This window comes from Homo sapiens, chromosome 2 (assembly GCF_000001405.40).
Source record: "Homo sapiens chromosome 2, GRCh38.p14 Primary Assembly".
NCBI lineage: Eukaryota > Metazoa > Chordata > Mammalia > Primates > Hominidae > Homo > Homo sapiens.
The window spans coordinates 238247382-238261484 of NC_000002.12; the positions used below are offsets into that span (position 1 = coordinate 238247382).

The window sequence follows — 14103 nt, forward strand, 5'->3', positions numbered from 1 at the left end:
CCTGGAAGCCGGTCCTCCAGCTGGCAGGTGACAGAAGCCCCCACCAGTATCTTACCGTCAACATCAGGAACGACCCTGAGCTAGAAGTACCCAGCTAAGCCGCTCTCAAATTCCTGACCCAAAGAGACCGTGCAAGGTAATACAAGTTCATTGTTGAAGTCACTAAGCGTTGGGGCCATCTGCCATGCAGCAGCAGATTACTAATGCAGCAGCGGGTGGAAAACAGACTCTAAGGCAGCCAGGGTGAGCCACGGGTCTATTTCAGGAAAAAGGATTCCAAGCAAAGGGCTGGGCATGTGCGAAGATCCTGTGGCAGGGGCCTGCCAGGGCAGTCGGGGAAACAGCCAAGGGGCCAGTGTAGCTGGAGAGGAGGGAAGGAGAGGAAAAATGGGAGATGAGGTAGAAGATGTGGATAGGTGGTCAGATGTGTATGGCTTTGCAACCATTTATTCTGATTGAGGTGGCACAGTGCTGGCAGGAATCTGAACTGTCACCGGAGGTGACACAGGGAGCAGTGAGTGCAGCTTCGAGGCCACTCTGACATCCAGGGTTCATGCCATGGAAGCATCCTCATGGCTTGGACCTGTGTGGTGATGGGCTTCATCTACCTTCAAGGTTAAACCCAGACAATCTGCCAACCCACCAGCTGGGGCCTGATAAGTAGAGCCCAGGATGCCTCCAGGGCTTGCAGGGTGCAGGTGGGGAAAAGAGGTGCAGACACTGAGCCCGAGGGTGGGCAGAAGAGGAAGAGCCTGTGGGGAGGCCAAGAGGTCAGAGGGACAGCCTGAAGAGCACAGGGCCTGGAGACCAAGGGCAGCAAGAGCTCCCTGGAGAGAGCCGCTCACTGCTGCCAATGGTCCCTGGGACGAGGACTGAGAAGTGACACTGTGTTCGGCTGCTGGAGAACTTGAGACCTTGACAAGAGCAGCTTCCACGGTATGTGGGAGGGAGGGGTCGGCAGAGAGCAGGAGAGAGGGGCTGGAGTGCCCACAGGGCCGCTGGAAGGACATGTGCCTGAGAGCACGCCAGCAGGAACTTGTTTTTTCCACCATTATTTAATGTTCTCCAGGGACACTGAGGGTTTGTGACAGGAGAGGGTTTTTTTTTGTAAAATAGAAAACAGAATTGAAAGAAAGAAAAAACAGATTTCAGCAAGTGACTGAGATTAGATTTTTCAGCCTTTTTGGAAACAACATTGAAAAGCCACTGGAGAAAAGTTCTTTGAAGTGGACCTAGTGCTGTGCCTTTAAAAACATAAACCTTTAATTTTAGAAATTTTTTTTTTTTTTTTTGAGACAGAGTCTTGCTCTGTCGCTCAGGCTGGAGTGCAGTGGTGCCATCTTGGCTCCCTGCAAGCTCTGCCTCCGGGGTTCCCGCCATTCTCCTGCCTCAGCCTCCTGAGGAGCTGGGACTACAGGCGCCCGCCACCACGCCCAGCTAATTTTTTGTATTTTTAGTAGAGACGGGGTTTCACCGTGTTTGCCAGGATGGTCTCGATCTCCTGACCTCGTGATCCACCCGCTTCGGCCTCCCAAAGTGCTGGGATTACAGGCGTGAGCCACCGCGCCCGGCCTAATTTTAGAAGTTTTAAATTGACAGAAAAGTTGCAAAGACAGTACAGAGAATCCCCATCACAGAGCCTTTTAGGGCCATATCAGAAATCGAGTCCCGTGAGCTTACTGCCACGTCGATGGCTGCGGGCAGGCCGCCCGTCTGCATCCACTGGTGGACCTCGCGCAGCTCCTGCTTCTGACTCTCCGTGAACCTGGGCTGGAGTTTCTGTAGGAGCTTCAGCTTCTCTCTGTCCTCCTTCAAAACCGCTTCTAAATTTCTTCGCAAGATATTTAGAAATCGGTAAGCTTTCAAATGTCTTAAGGGTATCTATTTTTATTCTTTCAGAATAATGTAGTTTTAGATGATTTTGTTTAATGCAAATTTCCTTTTCTTTAAAAAAATTTTCATTTAAGGTAACTTAATCTCCCTAGTAAAGAACCCGTAGTTTTTCTATGAAAATGATGATTCTGGTCAAGATTTAATTTTTCTGTATTTTACAATAGGCCTGGGAGCTGCGTATCTGCAGGTGTAACCTTGTCCCCTGGGGCTCAGGTCCACACAGGCATGGTTCATCTGGGAGATTCTTGCCAGCAGGACGGCATTCCCCTGCCACTGGCCTGTGCTGGGCTGGACTACAGCTGCCCTGGAGATGGAGCCCCCATATCCACTAGCTGACCAGAGGACTTAGGGGTTTGATATGGTTTGGCTCTGTGTCCCCACAAAAATCTTATCTGGAACTGTAATACCCATGTGTTGAGGGAAGGACCTGGTGAGGGGGGACTGGATCATGGGGGCGGTTCCCCTACGCTGTCCTGGTGATAGTGAGTTGTAACGCGATCTGATGGGTTTATAAGTATTTGGCAGTTCCTCCTTCGCTTGTGCTCTTTTCCTGCTGCCTTGTGAAGAAGGTGCTTGCTTCTCCTCCCTTCCACCATGACTGTAAGTTTCCTGAGGCTTCCCTGGCCCCGCAGGACTGTGAGTTAACTAAACCTCTTTCCTTTATAAATTACCCAATCTCAGGTATTTCTTTACAGCAGTGTGGAAACAGACCTACACAGGGTTCATTTTTCCTTCCTTTCTTTCCTCCCAGCTTCCCATGCCAAGCGGGTGCTCCGCAGGGGAAGGGACCACATGCAGTTCCCTATGGCAGCCTGATGTGGACACAGAGCCCCGGGTCACTGCAGAGCAGCCCGCTCCCTGGGCTGGTCACCTACCTTGACACTTGGTTCCTTCAAGTCTAAGTCAGACAGCCAGATACACCCCATTTACCTCACAGGGTTACTGGGCAACAAAGCAAGAGATGCTGGCACCAATGCTTTGTGAAAATTGAGCATGGCACTGTGAAGGAGGCACCAGGAGCCTGTCTTCCTCGAAGGCTGTAGGGTGTGAATCCACATGGCCCCGGCTTATCCTGGCCACACTGCAGGGCCAGGGCCACCCTGTACTAGCCTGGCAGAATTGTCCAGAGGGAAGCCTGCTTCTCTGCTGCACTCAGCTAAATCTAAGTCTTTCAGAGGGGCGTCCCGCCCCATCTGAATGACCTTGACCTTGTTGTTTCTGGGAGCTCCTGAACCCCATCCCTCCCCAGGTGCCTAGGAAAACGCTGGGTGGTTACCGGGAAGGCAGCTGGTACGTCATCATGACGCTGCTGTCCGCATCTGCCATCAGCAGCCAGATGGGATCCTGCAGGACGCACTTAATGAAATGCTCACTTTCTTCCATACCAGTGTTCATTTTTGCTTTGTGATTATTCTCTGAGGAGTCAATGCTTCCAAAATATTTGCTGGTATGACTTGTGTCACTACTGCCTTTAAAAACAAAAAACGTGGTGCGTCAAAACATTGACATATGAAATTAAACCTTGCATAATGTGCTTCCTCAAAGTCAGAATGATTTGAGAGAGCCCAGTGCCTTCTTAGGTATTGGGTATCTATGCCGGTGCATGTTCCCCTTCTCTCCCACTTCTTGAATGCTCTGGGTAATTAGGAAACAGGATCTCTGCTAGTGCCATGCAGGCGATTCTTTCCTGTGAAGCCCTGAGCAGCTCAGGTGGAGCTGCGTGTTAGAAGCCTTGACCTTCTCTCCCAAGCTCTCACCATCTCCACTCATGTGGACCACAGGGCACTGCAGTTTCCCACAAGGGGAGGCAGCTGGCCTGGAGCGCTCCCTAGCCAGCCTCACCTGTGCAGCACGCCTGCGAAGGGAGGCGAGGTGAAAGCTCACTCCAGAGAAGTAGGGGAGCTTCAATTTTGTGGAGAGTGTGTACATTTCTGGTGCCTGAGATTCCAGATCACATGTGAAAGATCCCAGCGGGTAGAGGCTTGCAGGTGCTCCATACCCTCAGTTCACACAAGTGGAACTAAAGCAGGAAGGCAAACCACTATCTGGGGAGTCAGAGGGCTGGTCCCACAAGGAGCCAGGGTGTGAGGCCTGTAGGCACTGAAATCAGAAGCAAACAGGGAGGATGTGGAATTCTGACTAGCTAGGGCCAGCCATGCTGAACAGGGAGAGTGTGTCTGTGTGGGTGTCTGCATGGGCTCTGACAGCTGCTTGGGGAGTGCCGGTGATCCCTGTTCTGAGCACAGAGGCCGGCCTGTGACTCTGGAGCAGTGCATCCTGCAGGAACCTCCCAAGTGCCTAACACCCCGCCAGGGCCAACATACCTGCCCCACTCGGGGAGGCGTCGCAGCCCAGTGAGCCGGAGCCCAGAGACTCCGAAGCAGCAGAGCCCGAGGCTGAGCAGAGGTCCTCATTCAGCAGGAGGTTTAGGAGGCCGCTTGACGTGGAAAGGGCGTCACTGTTCTGTGTGTCTGAGGGTTCATCACGCTTTAGGGACAGGAAGCAGATACTGCTGTTCAGGGGCTCAGTCAGGACACAGCATATGCAGCGGGGTGGGGGTGGGGGGCATGAGTGGGGTGAGGGTGGAGGGGTGCTGTGGAGCGGCTGCAAGGTTCACGGCCAGGGACGGCCTAACGAGCAGACCACGCATCACCACCAGGCCTACGGTGCAAATTCCACTGATGCTCTATGGATGCCGTCTAGTTACATTTAATTTTCGGAGAGTCACATGGAAGACGGCAATACCTGGGCTCCAGGGGGGAAAGCCTCAGGCTGCTCCTTGGCCACAGCCCCCTCCTCACATGCAGCAGACATGGATGGGGAAAACGCCTCTCACAGCACCCGGTGTGGGGGCTGCCTTGGGATTGAGGGCGGGGCCTGGCCTGGGGAGCATCCCTGACCCTCCTCTCCTTGGAAACCCAGACTGCAGGCCCAGGACTCCAGAAGCAGGAGCCCGGAGGTGGCAGGAGGACTGGGAGAAGCTCCACAGATCTACATGCTTGCACTTCCTCACCCGGGAGCCCTAGGTCCTCTGGCCAAGGCAGGGAATCGCCTGAGGCCTACGGACTGCACTGCTGCTGGCGTTCCCACACACTTGAGCTCGTTCAGAAACACAAGCGTTTAACTGCAAATACAACTACCGTTTCATTAACTGGTTAAGAATCTCACACAGTGTCCCTACGCCTGCGGAGGATGGAAACTGAGGTCACGCTGGTTTTAGGGCTGTGTCCCCCTCCTTCTCCGCCTTCACCGGGGCCACCTGAGCCAGGCTCCGGCGCCACACCCTGAGGAGCCCTAGCTCTGGTATTTAACCTGACTGTGCTTTATCTCTGAAGCGTCATTTAAAAAGTCGAAGCCCACAAATACTGTCAAGTCACATGCTGCTTTCTGGAGTCTGTATCACAATCTCTCCTCCTTCATTCAGATTCCACGACAATAAAAGGCTTCGAATAATCTACTCTGATAGGATTAAGTGGGAAGCATGAATTTCTGGCACACACATTCATGGCAAAACCTACAGGGTTTGGTGGAAACCTCAATCGTGTAACCCCCATGTCTGAACTGAGGATGTGCGGCCGGCCTGCCAGGTGTGCTGTTTGCTGCCTGCTTTGGGGAAAGAGCATCAGAAAATCCTTACGGTCAGAGGCGCCTTCGGCTGCTGGTCCCGAGAAGTGCCAGGTTTGCAGTCCGCCCCTACAGCTGCTGTCTCTGTGGCCCCTGTGGTCCCCATGGCTCCAGTGCCACCCTCAGGGGCTTCCTCCAGCTGCAGCAGGTTGAGCTGCAGGGGCGAGCTGCTGCGGGACTGAAAGAGCGGTGGGGAGGCCCTACCCATGGCCGATGGTGGGGTGGCCCGGGTGGCTGGACAAGCACATGGCTGTCTGGGGATCGAGGTCCGGCTGGGGAACTCAGGCTGTGAGGCAGAGGCCATCTCGGATGTGAGTGTGGGGTGGCTCGGAAACTGAGGCTGGCTGGGGAAGAAGGCCTGGGGCAGGTTTGGGGTCCCCGAGGGGAAGGAATAACTGGGTAGCATGAATGCCATGACAGGCGCCAAAGGGGCAGGGAAAGGTGGGGGCTGGACTGCAAACTGGTGCTGGAGGTCCACGGGCACAGCAGGCACTGTGAAGCTGGCGTGGGGAGGTGCCGGGGGTGCTGCCACAGTCCCTGGCGCTGGAAACACGGGCAGTGAATAAGCTGCTGGCACTGGGGCGGGAAAGGGCACGGCTGGGCAGCTGGACTGGGACGTGTCTGAGGGTGACCAGGCTGTGGCGTTCAAGCCCACCAGCGGGGGCCGGGCGGACACGGGCCCCCCAGATCCGGTGCTCTCAGATGAGTCTCGAGGTTTGACCCGCTTGGACTTCAATTTTCTGTTCTTTCCTGTTTTTTTCCAAGGTGAATCTATTCCGGAAGTATTTCTTAGTCCAGGGGCAGCTAATGCAGAAAAACAAATACTCGGAGTTAAAATTTTAACTCCAAATTTGAAGACACCTCTTCGTTCAACAGTCCTGGGTTTCCAAATGCTGGCCCAGGGCCTGCCTGGTCCACCGAGCGGTTTTCCCTGATCCTCAGTGAAGTGAGAAAAATCAGGGCAAAACATCAGGTTTTTCCATAAAACTAAATTGAATCAACTTAAATTACAAGCTCTTAATTGCAGGACACATTCCTTATTTTCTTCTGGTATTAAATGTCCTTTCTTTTATGAAATGCTAATATGATAAGTGGTAATACAAAGTTCTATTTGTTAAATAAATACACTAAAAAGCTGTCATGTCTCTGCTGTTCCCCAGTATTTGGGGGAAAAATTGGTTAGTGAAATCTGAACGGGAGAGCCACTGACCTCCTCTATTTTTCAATTTATAAGCACTGTCACTACTGTTCCTTAAAGAGGGATGTTTCCTCTTTCACCTGTCAAACAGCCTGAGCAAGATCAGAGGGGAGCATTGCCTTGCAACCAAATTCTTCCTCTGCAATAACGAGTGCTGCTGAGTAAGGCATTCTTCAGGAAGATGGAGGGACTCAATTGGTAAAGGAGGGACTCTGGGTATGTCCCCATGGCCTCCCTGGGGAGTGGGAGGGGGATCCAGGGAACTTTGGTTTTCCTCTCACATCACGCGGAGTGACTTGGGGCTCTTGCAGCAGGTGTCTGGGACATCTGTCAGCTGTGCCAAGGCAGTCCCATGCCTTTGGGATGTGCTGAAGGGAAATGGGCTAGTCCAAGGCAAACTCCTATGTAAATGGAGGTTTTGCAATTCAGCCTCTCTATCTGGTGTTCTTCTCACAAGAAATCTGTCCCCTGGTGGGAACAGTGGCTAAAGCACTGGGCTCCTGGGATGTCATGTCTGGGTCTGGCAGGGCTGCCCTAGGCAGCTCTGTAGTCTGTGCACTGCATAAGGCTACAGAGTTGTCTAGGGGGCAAGCAAGAGCGGGAACTCTGCACTAGGCTGGTCCCATGGGGTGGGTCTGCTCATGGCCATGGAGTACACCTTTTTCTAATTTCTACAGAGGTTCTCTATGGGCTGGCAGTAACTCTTGAATCTGGGGAAGAAGGAGAGAAAGGAAAGAGTGGAGAAGACATAATCCTCAAGGAAGCTGTGGGCTTAATTTCTTACAAATTTCCCTTGGTGCGTCTGCCCAGAGACCCGGGGGAGCTGGGTCCTTGTGGTGAGTGGCTTCCTGGGCTCACTGGCTCTGATCCCTGTGCCAGCGTCCCAGGGGGAAGGGAAGAGGCCCCATCTCTAACAAGTGTCTGGGGGTATGGGAAGGAACTGGGGGATCAGGAGCCAGACTTCTGGGCCAGGAAAGGGGTGAAGAAGCTCATCTATTTTACTTCATCCCTTGACCTTCAACCCCCCAAGTGGCACCTGGCCTACACAGCAGCTTCCCACACCATGACCATGGACTCTGCCTGACTCTGGAGTCCAAAGCCCAGCCCTGAGGCTGGCCCAGTCAGGAGGGTGCATCTCCTGGGGAGAAGGGCACCAGAAATGGTACATCCCTCCTTCCTCATGTGCCCAGCACTACATGCCCACTATCTTGAGGTTGAATTCGCTGATTCTCTGGAGGTCCCGTCCAGGTGGGGCCCCTGCCCACATGGTTACTCAGGCAAGAAATGTGGACATGGCAGCACTGCCCTGCCATGGTTCTTCCCACCTCGGGCACTAGCCTGGGACTATTCCCCAGGGAATGCAAGCTGACATCCCGAGAGCACCCCCCCGGTGGGAAGTTCTACAGAAACAGATGGCGTTGCCAGGGAAGTTCCAACAGCTGTCTTATATGTTAATGCTTCTGAAACTGGACACATTTCACATTTTGAAACCAGCACTGGACTCAGTACCAACAGGAATAAAGTTTTTTAAAACGCACTTTTAATTCGGGTATCACTTACTTCGTTCACTTGGCTGCCCCTTGGATCTTTCTTGCAAGTAGTAATGGCAGTGGGACTGGAAAATGCTGAGTTTTCTTATTTCTTTGAACTTCTGCAGGAAGCTCTGCTCCTCCTTCTGTGTGTGTGCAGCGAGTACCTCCTTGGTGAGGCCCAGCTTCTTGAAGGGCTCCTTCTCTTGGCTGAGACCACAGGCCAGGGCAGGGCCCGCCAGGCAGTCCAGGGATTCTGGCCCACTCGCAGCATCTTCCACCATCTCTGTAACACAAGAACCCAGGGCTCTGGTCCACACGTGCCCTGTTTATTATTTTAAGGCCACACTATATTCACGAACAAGACAAATCATTCACGTATAAAGTAATTTCATGATGCCTGTGGCATGAGGATGAGACTCACAGCGTTTTCATTTAGCTTTCTGAGAAAGTTCATGGCAAAAGGCAAGAAGCAGAGCAGGACAGCCCTGACAGCCAGGTGCTCAGGAACCTGGGGCTGAACAAACGGAAACGTGGGGAACCTTGGGCTTCAGCTCTGCTGCTGAAGATATCCCTCGGCTGTCCTTAGCTTTCAGAACACCAGAAACTTGGATCAACGTGCTGAGTCTTTCCGGGTTTGGGACCAGGCATGGTGATAGATGGGACCCTATGGGCCCATGGGGCAGACAGGACAAGGGACAGGCAGGGCCACTGACCATCCTGAAAGGGAGGGCTTGGGGACTGGATCTTGGACATACACTTTTTCCTTATCATTTCCCTCTTCTTAGTAAAGAACAAATTCAGGATTCATTTTAATCATAATATTCTAAAGAACAAGAACACTCAGCCACCAATGCGCTCATTGTAAATCTGTTTACCACCTGTACTGGCTCCTGTCCACAAACAGGGAGAGCTAACGGTCGCACCTTCTGCTGGGCAGAGGAAAGAACCCCAGGCCTGCCCAGGGAAGAGGGAGGTGGGGCCTCGCTCCCAGTGCTCTCCGCACCAATTAAAGGGGATAAGATCTTGCACCACAATCAACCCTCCTGCGTTGATGCCAGAACAGACAACTGCCACTGGAGGGCACCACAGGGCAGCAGAGACCTGGACAGGTTGCTGCCTGGGCCCTGGCTGGCCGCACTCCACCCTGCATTTTACGTAACTGGATTTCCTGAAACGCCCCCTATCGGGCTATGGTGGAGTTCTTCTGCACTTAGAAAAATTTAAGATGGCAAACTTCTTGTTTTCATGGTTAAAAATCAAACTGCTCTCTGATCCAAGAGCCCATAGTCATACCTAACTCCGGCTGCGGCTTCTTGTCTCCCACATGGACGATGGTGCTGCTGTAGCTGCACTGGCTGGTGAGCGACGCCACACTCTCTGCCTTGCCCGGCAGTGCCAGCGAGGTCAGGTGCGTACCTACTCCCGTGCGGCTGTTCACCCTGGAGGGCGGCTCTGCCTCTTCATGAGAGGAAGGGGGAACAAACATTAGTGTGTCATTACAATGCACTGTGCAGATGAGAAACCGACACCCAAGTGCCCATACAGCTTCCACACCAGGGTGCACACAACCCATCCCATCCCATCCCACAGATGCTCTGGCCCAGGCATGGGGTGATTTGTCCCCAATGTTTATTCATAGAAGAATAGTGGAAAAGAGAAAGTTCTGAAATGGGAGCAGTTACACACTTAAATCCTGAGGCCTCTGCAGGGAGGCGCAGCAGCTTGGCAGCTGCAGGGCACACTTGGTGAGGGGCTCTTGCCTGCAGCCAGGCAGCCCTTCTGCAGGCCTGTGGGGAGGGGCTTTCCGACAGTCAGGAGCCAACCATAATCCGGGATACCCTGTTTCTTTCTTTTTTCTTTTTTGAGATGGAGTCTCGCTCTGTCACCCAGGCTGGAGTGCAGTGATGCAATCTTGGCTCACTGCAACCTCCGCCTGCCAGGTACAAGCCATTCTCCTGCCTCAGCCTCCCAAGTAGCTGGGATTACAGGCATGCACCATGATGCCTGGCTAATTTTTGTATTTTTAGTAGAGATGGGGTTTCACCATGTTGGCCAGGCTGGTCTTGAACTCCTGACCTCAAGTGATCCACCCACCTCGGCCTCCCAAAGTGCTGGGATTACAGGCGTGAGCCACCGCGCCCAGCCGGGGTACCATTTCTAATCCTGGTGGTGAACATCAGCAACACTGACAGCGTTGTGTTAAGCAGCCTGGGATTTAATGTGATTTATGGGCCATGTTAACATTCAGGCCAAGGGCCCCTCTGAGACACACTGGAAAGAGGGCCTGCCCTAGACTGACAACTTGAGACCAGTGTGGCTGCATGAGGGGGTCAGCAGACGGCCCCTCAGTGTGGCCGCATGAAGGGGACCAGGAGATGTCCCTGCAGTGTGTCTGCATGAGGGGGGTCAGGGGACGGCCCCAGGCCTCCAGTAGCCCCACTGGCTTCCTGTTCTCAAAGCCAAGGCTCTGACAGAACCATCTTTGCCTCTAGTTCCTAAGAAGGGTGCTGACTTTTGAACTACTTTCATCATTTGAAAAACAGCCTACACCCTTACACTGTGTCCACAGAAGCCATGGGGACGTCTGACTCTACTCCAGAGGATTTACATTATTTCACATGTACATGGCTCTACACAGATTAGATACCTCCAGCGTGTGGCCCTGGGCTGACTGTGGCCTTCCGCTTATCACTGGACCTTAGCGCTGGGACGTTTGCTGGGAACTCGCATTTCCTCTTCAGGGTGGCAGCCTCATTGCAGCTCTCCAAGTACCTGTGTGAAAGGCATGAACCACTGGTGAGGCCACACAACATGAGAGGAGGGAAGGTGTGTGAGATGGTGGAGACTCGGCTGGAAATGCCGGCATACCTGATGACGCTGTCCAAGCAGCTGATCTGCTGGTAGGAGCAGGTGGGCTGGTTCTTGCAGGCCAACTCCTCGGGGAAGCTGACCCCCAGGCTGTCCTTTTCCATGGCAGGGACAGCTTTCTTCTCAGCTGGGGGATTAGTTTGCATTTCTGAAGGAATGGCAAAATTGTTCTTTCATTCATTTTTCTCCCACAGAAAACGCTGTGTATTTACAAAGCATTTTCGTTCTACCTGAAGACAGGGCTGGGGACTCAGAATCTGCTTCATGAGTATGGAAGCCTGGGGACAGCCTGGCATCTGGCAGCCCTGTGGGCACGAGCACCACAGTGCCGTCCACAGAGAGACCTGGGGGGGGAGCTGCTGCCCAGCCTGGTGTCTGCTTCTCTCTGGGGTCTAGGCTGTCCCCAGGGGTCAGGGACTCAGCAGTGGGAGACAGCAGTTCTCACTTGAACTCTTAAACTTTCAGGGCCAATGAGAGCCCACGTACTTTATGCTCCTCCTGGGCCAGGCCAGTGTTTTCAAGGTGATCCCTGCTAGTAACAATTATGATGACAACTGCCTGCTCACTGTGCTGCAGATTCGACTCTTGCCCCAACGACATTCATCACATGCCTGTCCCCTAGGGACCCTCAAGCAAAGAGCTGTGTCCAGCTCATTAGCGTGTCCCCAACACCCAGCACAGAGTCCAGCAGGCAGCATGTCCACCAACACATCCCCAAGGCCAAAAGTCCTAGCGGTGTCTGGCCAGAGTGTTCCCCACGGGAGGCTTCGGCCTGAGCACAGAGAATGAGCAAGGGCCCACCAGGGGGAGGGGACTGGGATGCATGCATGTGTGCACACGTGTCTGTGTGCATGCTGTGTGAGAAATACATGCGGGACAGAGGAGCAGCATGAATCTGAACCCGCGCATGACACTGTGAAGCTGCCTGGGAAGTGTGGCGCTGTGGTAGGAAAGGGCTGCTGCAGTGGGGGTGGGTCGGCAGCCCCTGGGTGGTACTCCCCACTTCAGACAGGTTTGGTTTGAGTGTATGTGGATGCTGGGCAAACCGTCGGCAGTTGTGTGTGTGTGTGAGTGAAGGGTTTGCAAGTGTAAACACACAGCCATACAGCTACTCTGTACAGCAAGAACAAGCGGCCCAGGCCGTGGCTCCCAGGCACACCCTGCTGGCAGGCCAGGGTGCAGGAAGGCACACTGGTCACAGCTCCCCAGGCCTGCACACCTAGCCACACCCCGCCAGGCCTGCAGGGCATCAGGTGCCCAGTGTGGACATCAGTGCCTGCACTGGCTGAGTGCAGGACTGGGCTGCTCTCGCCTCTTGGAAGCTGCAGACTGTGCTGAACGCAGAAGGGGGTGTGACACGGCTACAAGGTAGACTCCCTGCCAGCCAGAGTCAGCATTTAACCCAGGTTCCCTCTTCTCATGTGGCCATACTCTAGTTTCAGTAAGGAAATGTTGAATATTTTTTTTTTTACCTGTAACGGATTTTTTCTTTTGTTCTCCAGATTCATGAGAATAATGACTTCTATTTTTGGTCTTGTTACCATTTTTACAAATTTCCTTGAAGAAAAACAAAATGAACACATTATTCATTCTAGGAGACCTCCTTCAGTCTGTCCGGCAAAGTGAGAACAGAGGATGGCTGAAATAATTTCAGCAACACAGAAGGAAACTGTGGATGAGAAATCTGACAGGTGTAGAGCTAGATAAAACCTATTTGATGATCCTAAAGAATAATAAAAAATAAAGCAAAACGGCACATTACATTTTTTTTTTTTTTTAAGACAGAGTCTTGCTCTGTCACCCAGGCTGGAGTGCAGTGGCGCAATCTTGTCTCTCTGCAACCTCTGCCTCCCGGGTTCAAGCCATTCTCCTGCCTCAGCCTCCCGAGTAGCTGGGATTACAGGGGCGCGCCACCATGCAAGGCAATTTTTGTATTTTTAGTAGAGACGGGGTTTCACCACCTTGCCCAGGCTGTTCTTGAACTCCTGACCTTAGGTGATCCGCCTGCCTCGGCCTTCCAAAGTGCTGGGATTACAGGTGTGAATCACCGCACCCAGCCCACATTTTCTTCTTTCTATCCTAGTTAAATCTTCACTTTTGCTTGTTTTGTCTGTTTTAAATAATTTTCAACCAACACTTAGCTATGGTTTCTAGCTCTTTCAACTCTTAAGAGATTAAAAAGTCCCAAGTGGACAAAGTTTAGAAAGGAAGCAGCAACAGCTGCAATCAGGAAGCCCCTCCTAACTGCCAAAGGTTGTCTTGAGTGTGCTTTTTAACTCTGGAGGGACATCCACAAACTCATTTTCTCAGGGAGAATGGAAGGAGACGTACGGCTCTCCTCCGGCGTGAGTCCTCATGGCCGTTGCTGTCGCTGGAGGAGGTCTGGCTCATAAGGTGCTCGTGGGACCCGTTGCTGCCCAGACTCCCGTAGCCACTGGAGCCGCTGTGGGGGACGGGCTGGGGAGACAGCAGACAGCGCTACAGACACAGCCAGGGCTGCTGAGCTATGCATGTGGCCCCCTGCCAACACACCCTGTTTCGCAGAGAGGATGGCGACCCGCCTAAGGCTACATGGCAGAGACCAGGGGAGCTGAGGTTTGAACCCCAGGGTCAGCTCCAGAGGTAGACTCCTGGCCTCCAGCCGCGGTGCCCCGACCCAGACATGCAGTCACCGAGGAGACGGCACCAAAGGAATGTGTCCAACCCGCTCATCAACGCATGGCTGCAGCCAGCCACGCCTCTGTGGATGGGTTTAAAACAAACAAGATGCGATGACAGCTTCACTCCACAGTCTCCGGGAACTGACAGGCAGGCGCCTACTCAGGTGTGGGGTTGACTGCAGTGGGCCTGATTTTTTTTAGGGACCTTGAGTACAATGTCCCTCCCTTAAGTCCCACTGCTCTGGATTAGAATGAGCCCCCGCACCACTGAGAGGTCACTCTGGAACTATGCAGCCTGTGTCAGAGCACGGGGTCTGCACACGTCCTT

The 14103-nt window shown here is 53.2% G+C and overlaps 1 protein-coding gene across 5 annotated transcripts in view, besides 1 other annotated feature; it reads right to left on the reverse strand.

Moving 5' to 3' along the window:
• Positions 1-14103, reverse strand: part of PER2 (period circadian regulator 2) — a 56022-nt gene that overhangs the window by 3338 nt on the left and 38581 nt on the right. For all 5 annotated transcript variants that reach the window (XM_047446232.1, XM_047446231.1, XM_005246111.5 and 2 more), the window contains 10 exons: positions 13447-13572; positions 12588-12672; positions 11116-11263; positions 10895-11019; positions 9541-9705; positions 8276-8530; positions 5531-6321; positions 4218-4380; positions 3170-3362; positions 1681-1831 (listed from right to left, as the gene is read on the reverse strand). In XM_047446232.1, coding sequence (XP_047302188.1) covers positions 1681-1831; positions 3170-3362; positions 4218-4380; positions 5531-6321; positions 8276-8530; positions 9541-9705; positions 10895-11019; positions 11116-11263; positions 12588-12672; positions 13447-13572 — 2202 coding nt within the window. The remainder of the gene's footprint in view (positions 1-1680; positions 1832-3169; positions 3363-4217; positions 4381-5530; positions 6322-8275; positions 8531-9540; positions 9706-10894; positions 11020-11115; positions 11264-12587; positions 12673-13446; positions 13573-14103) is intronic.
• Positions 775-1275: an enhancer, noted in NCBI's record as "H3K4me1 hESC enhancer chr2:239156797-239157297 (GRCh37/hg19 assembly coordinates)". NCBI's record gives its function as "activates a minimal SCP1, AML or CMV promoter by ChIP-STARR-seq in naive H9 embryonic stem cells {active_cell/tissue: H9 hESC(naive)}" and the evidence as "EXISTENCE:reporter gene assay evidence [ECO:0000049][PMID:30033119]".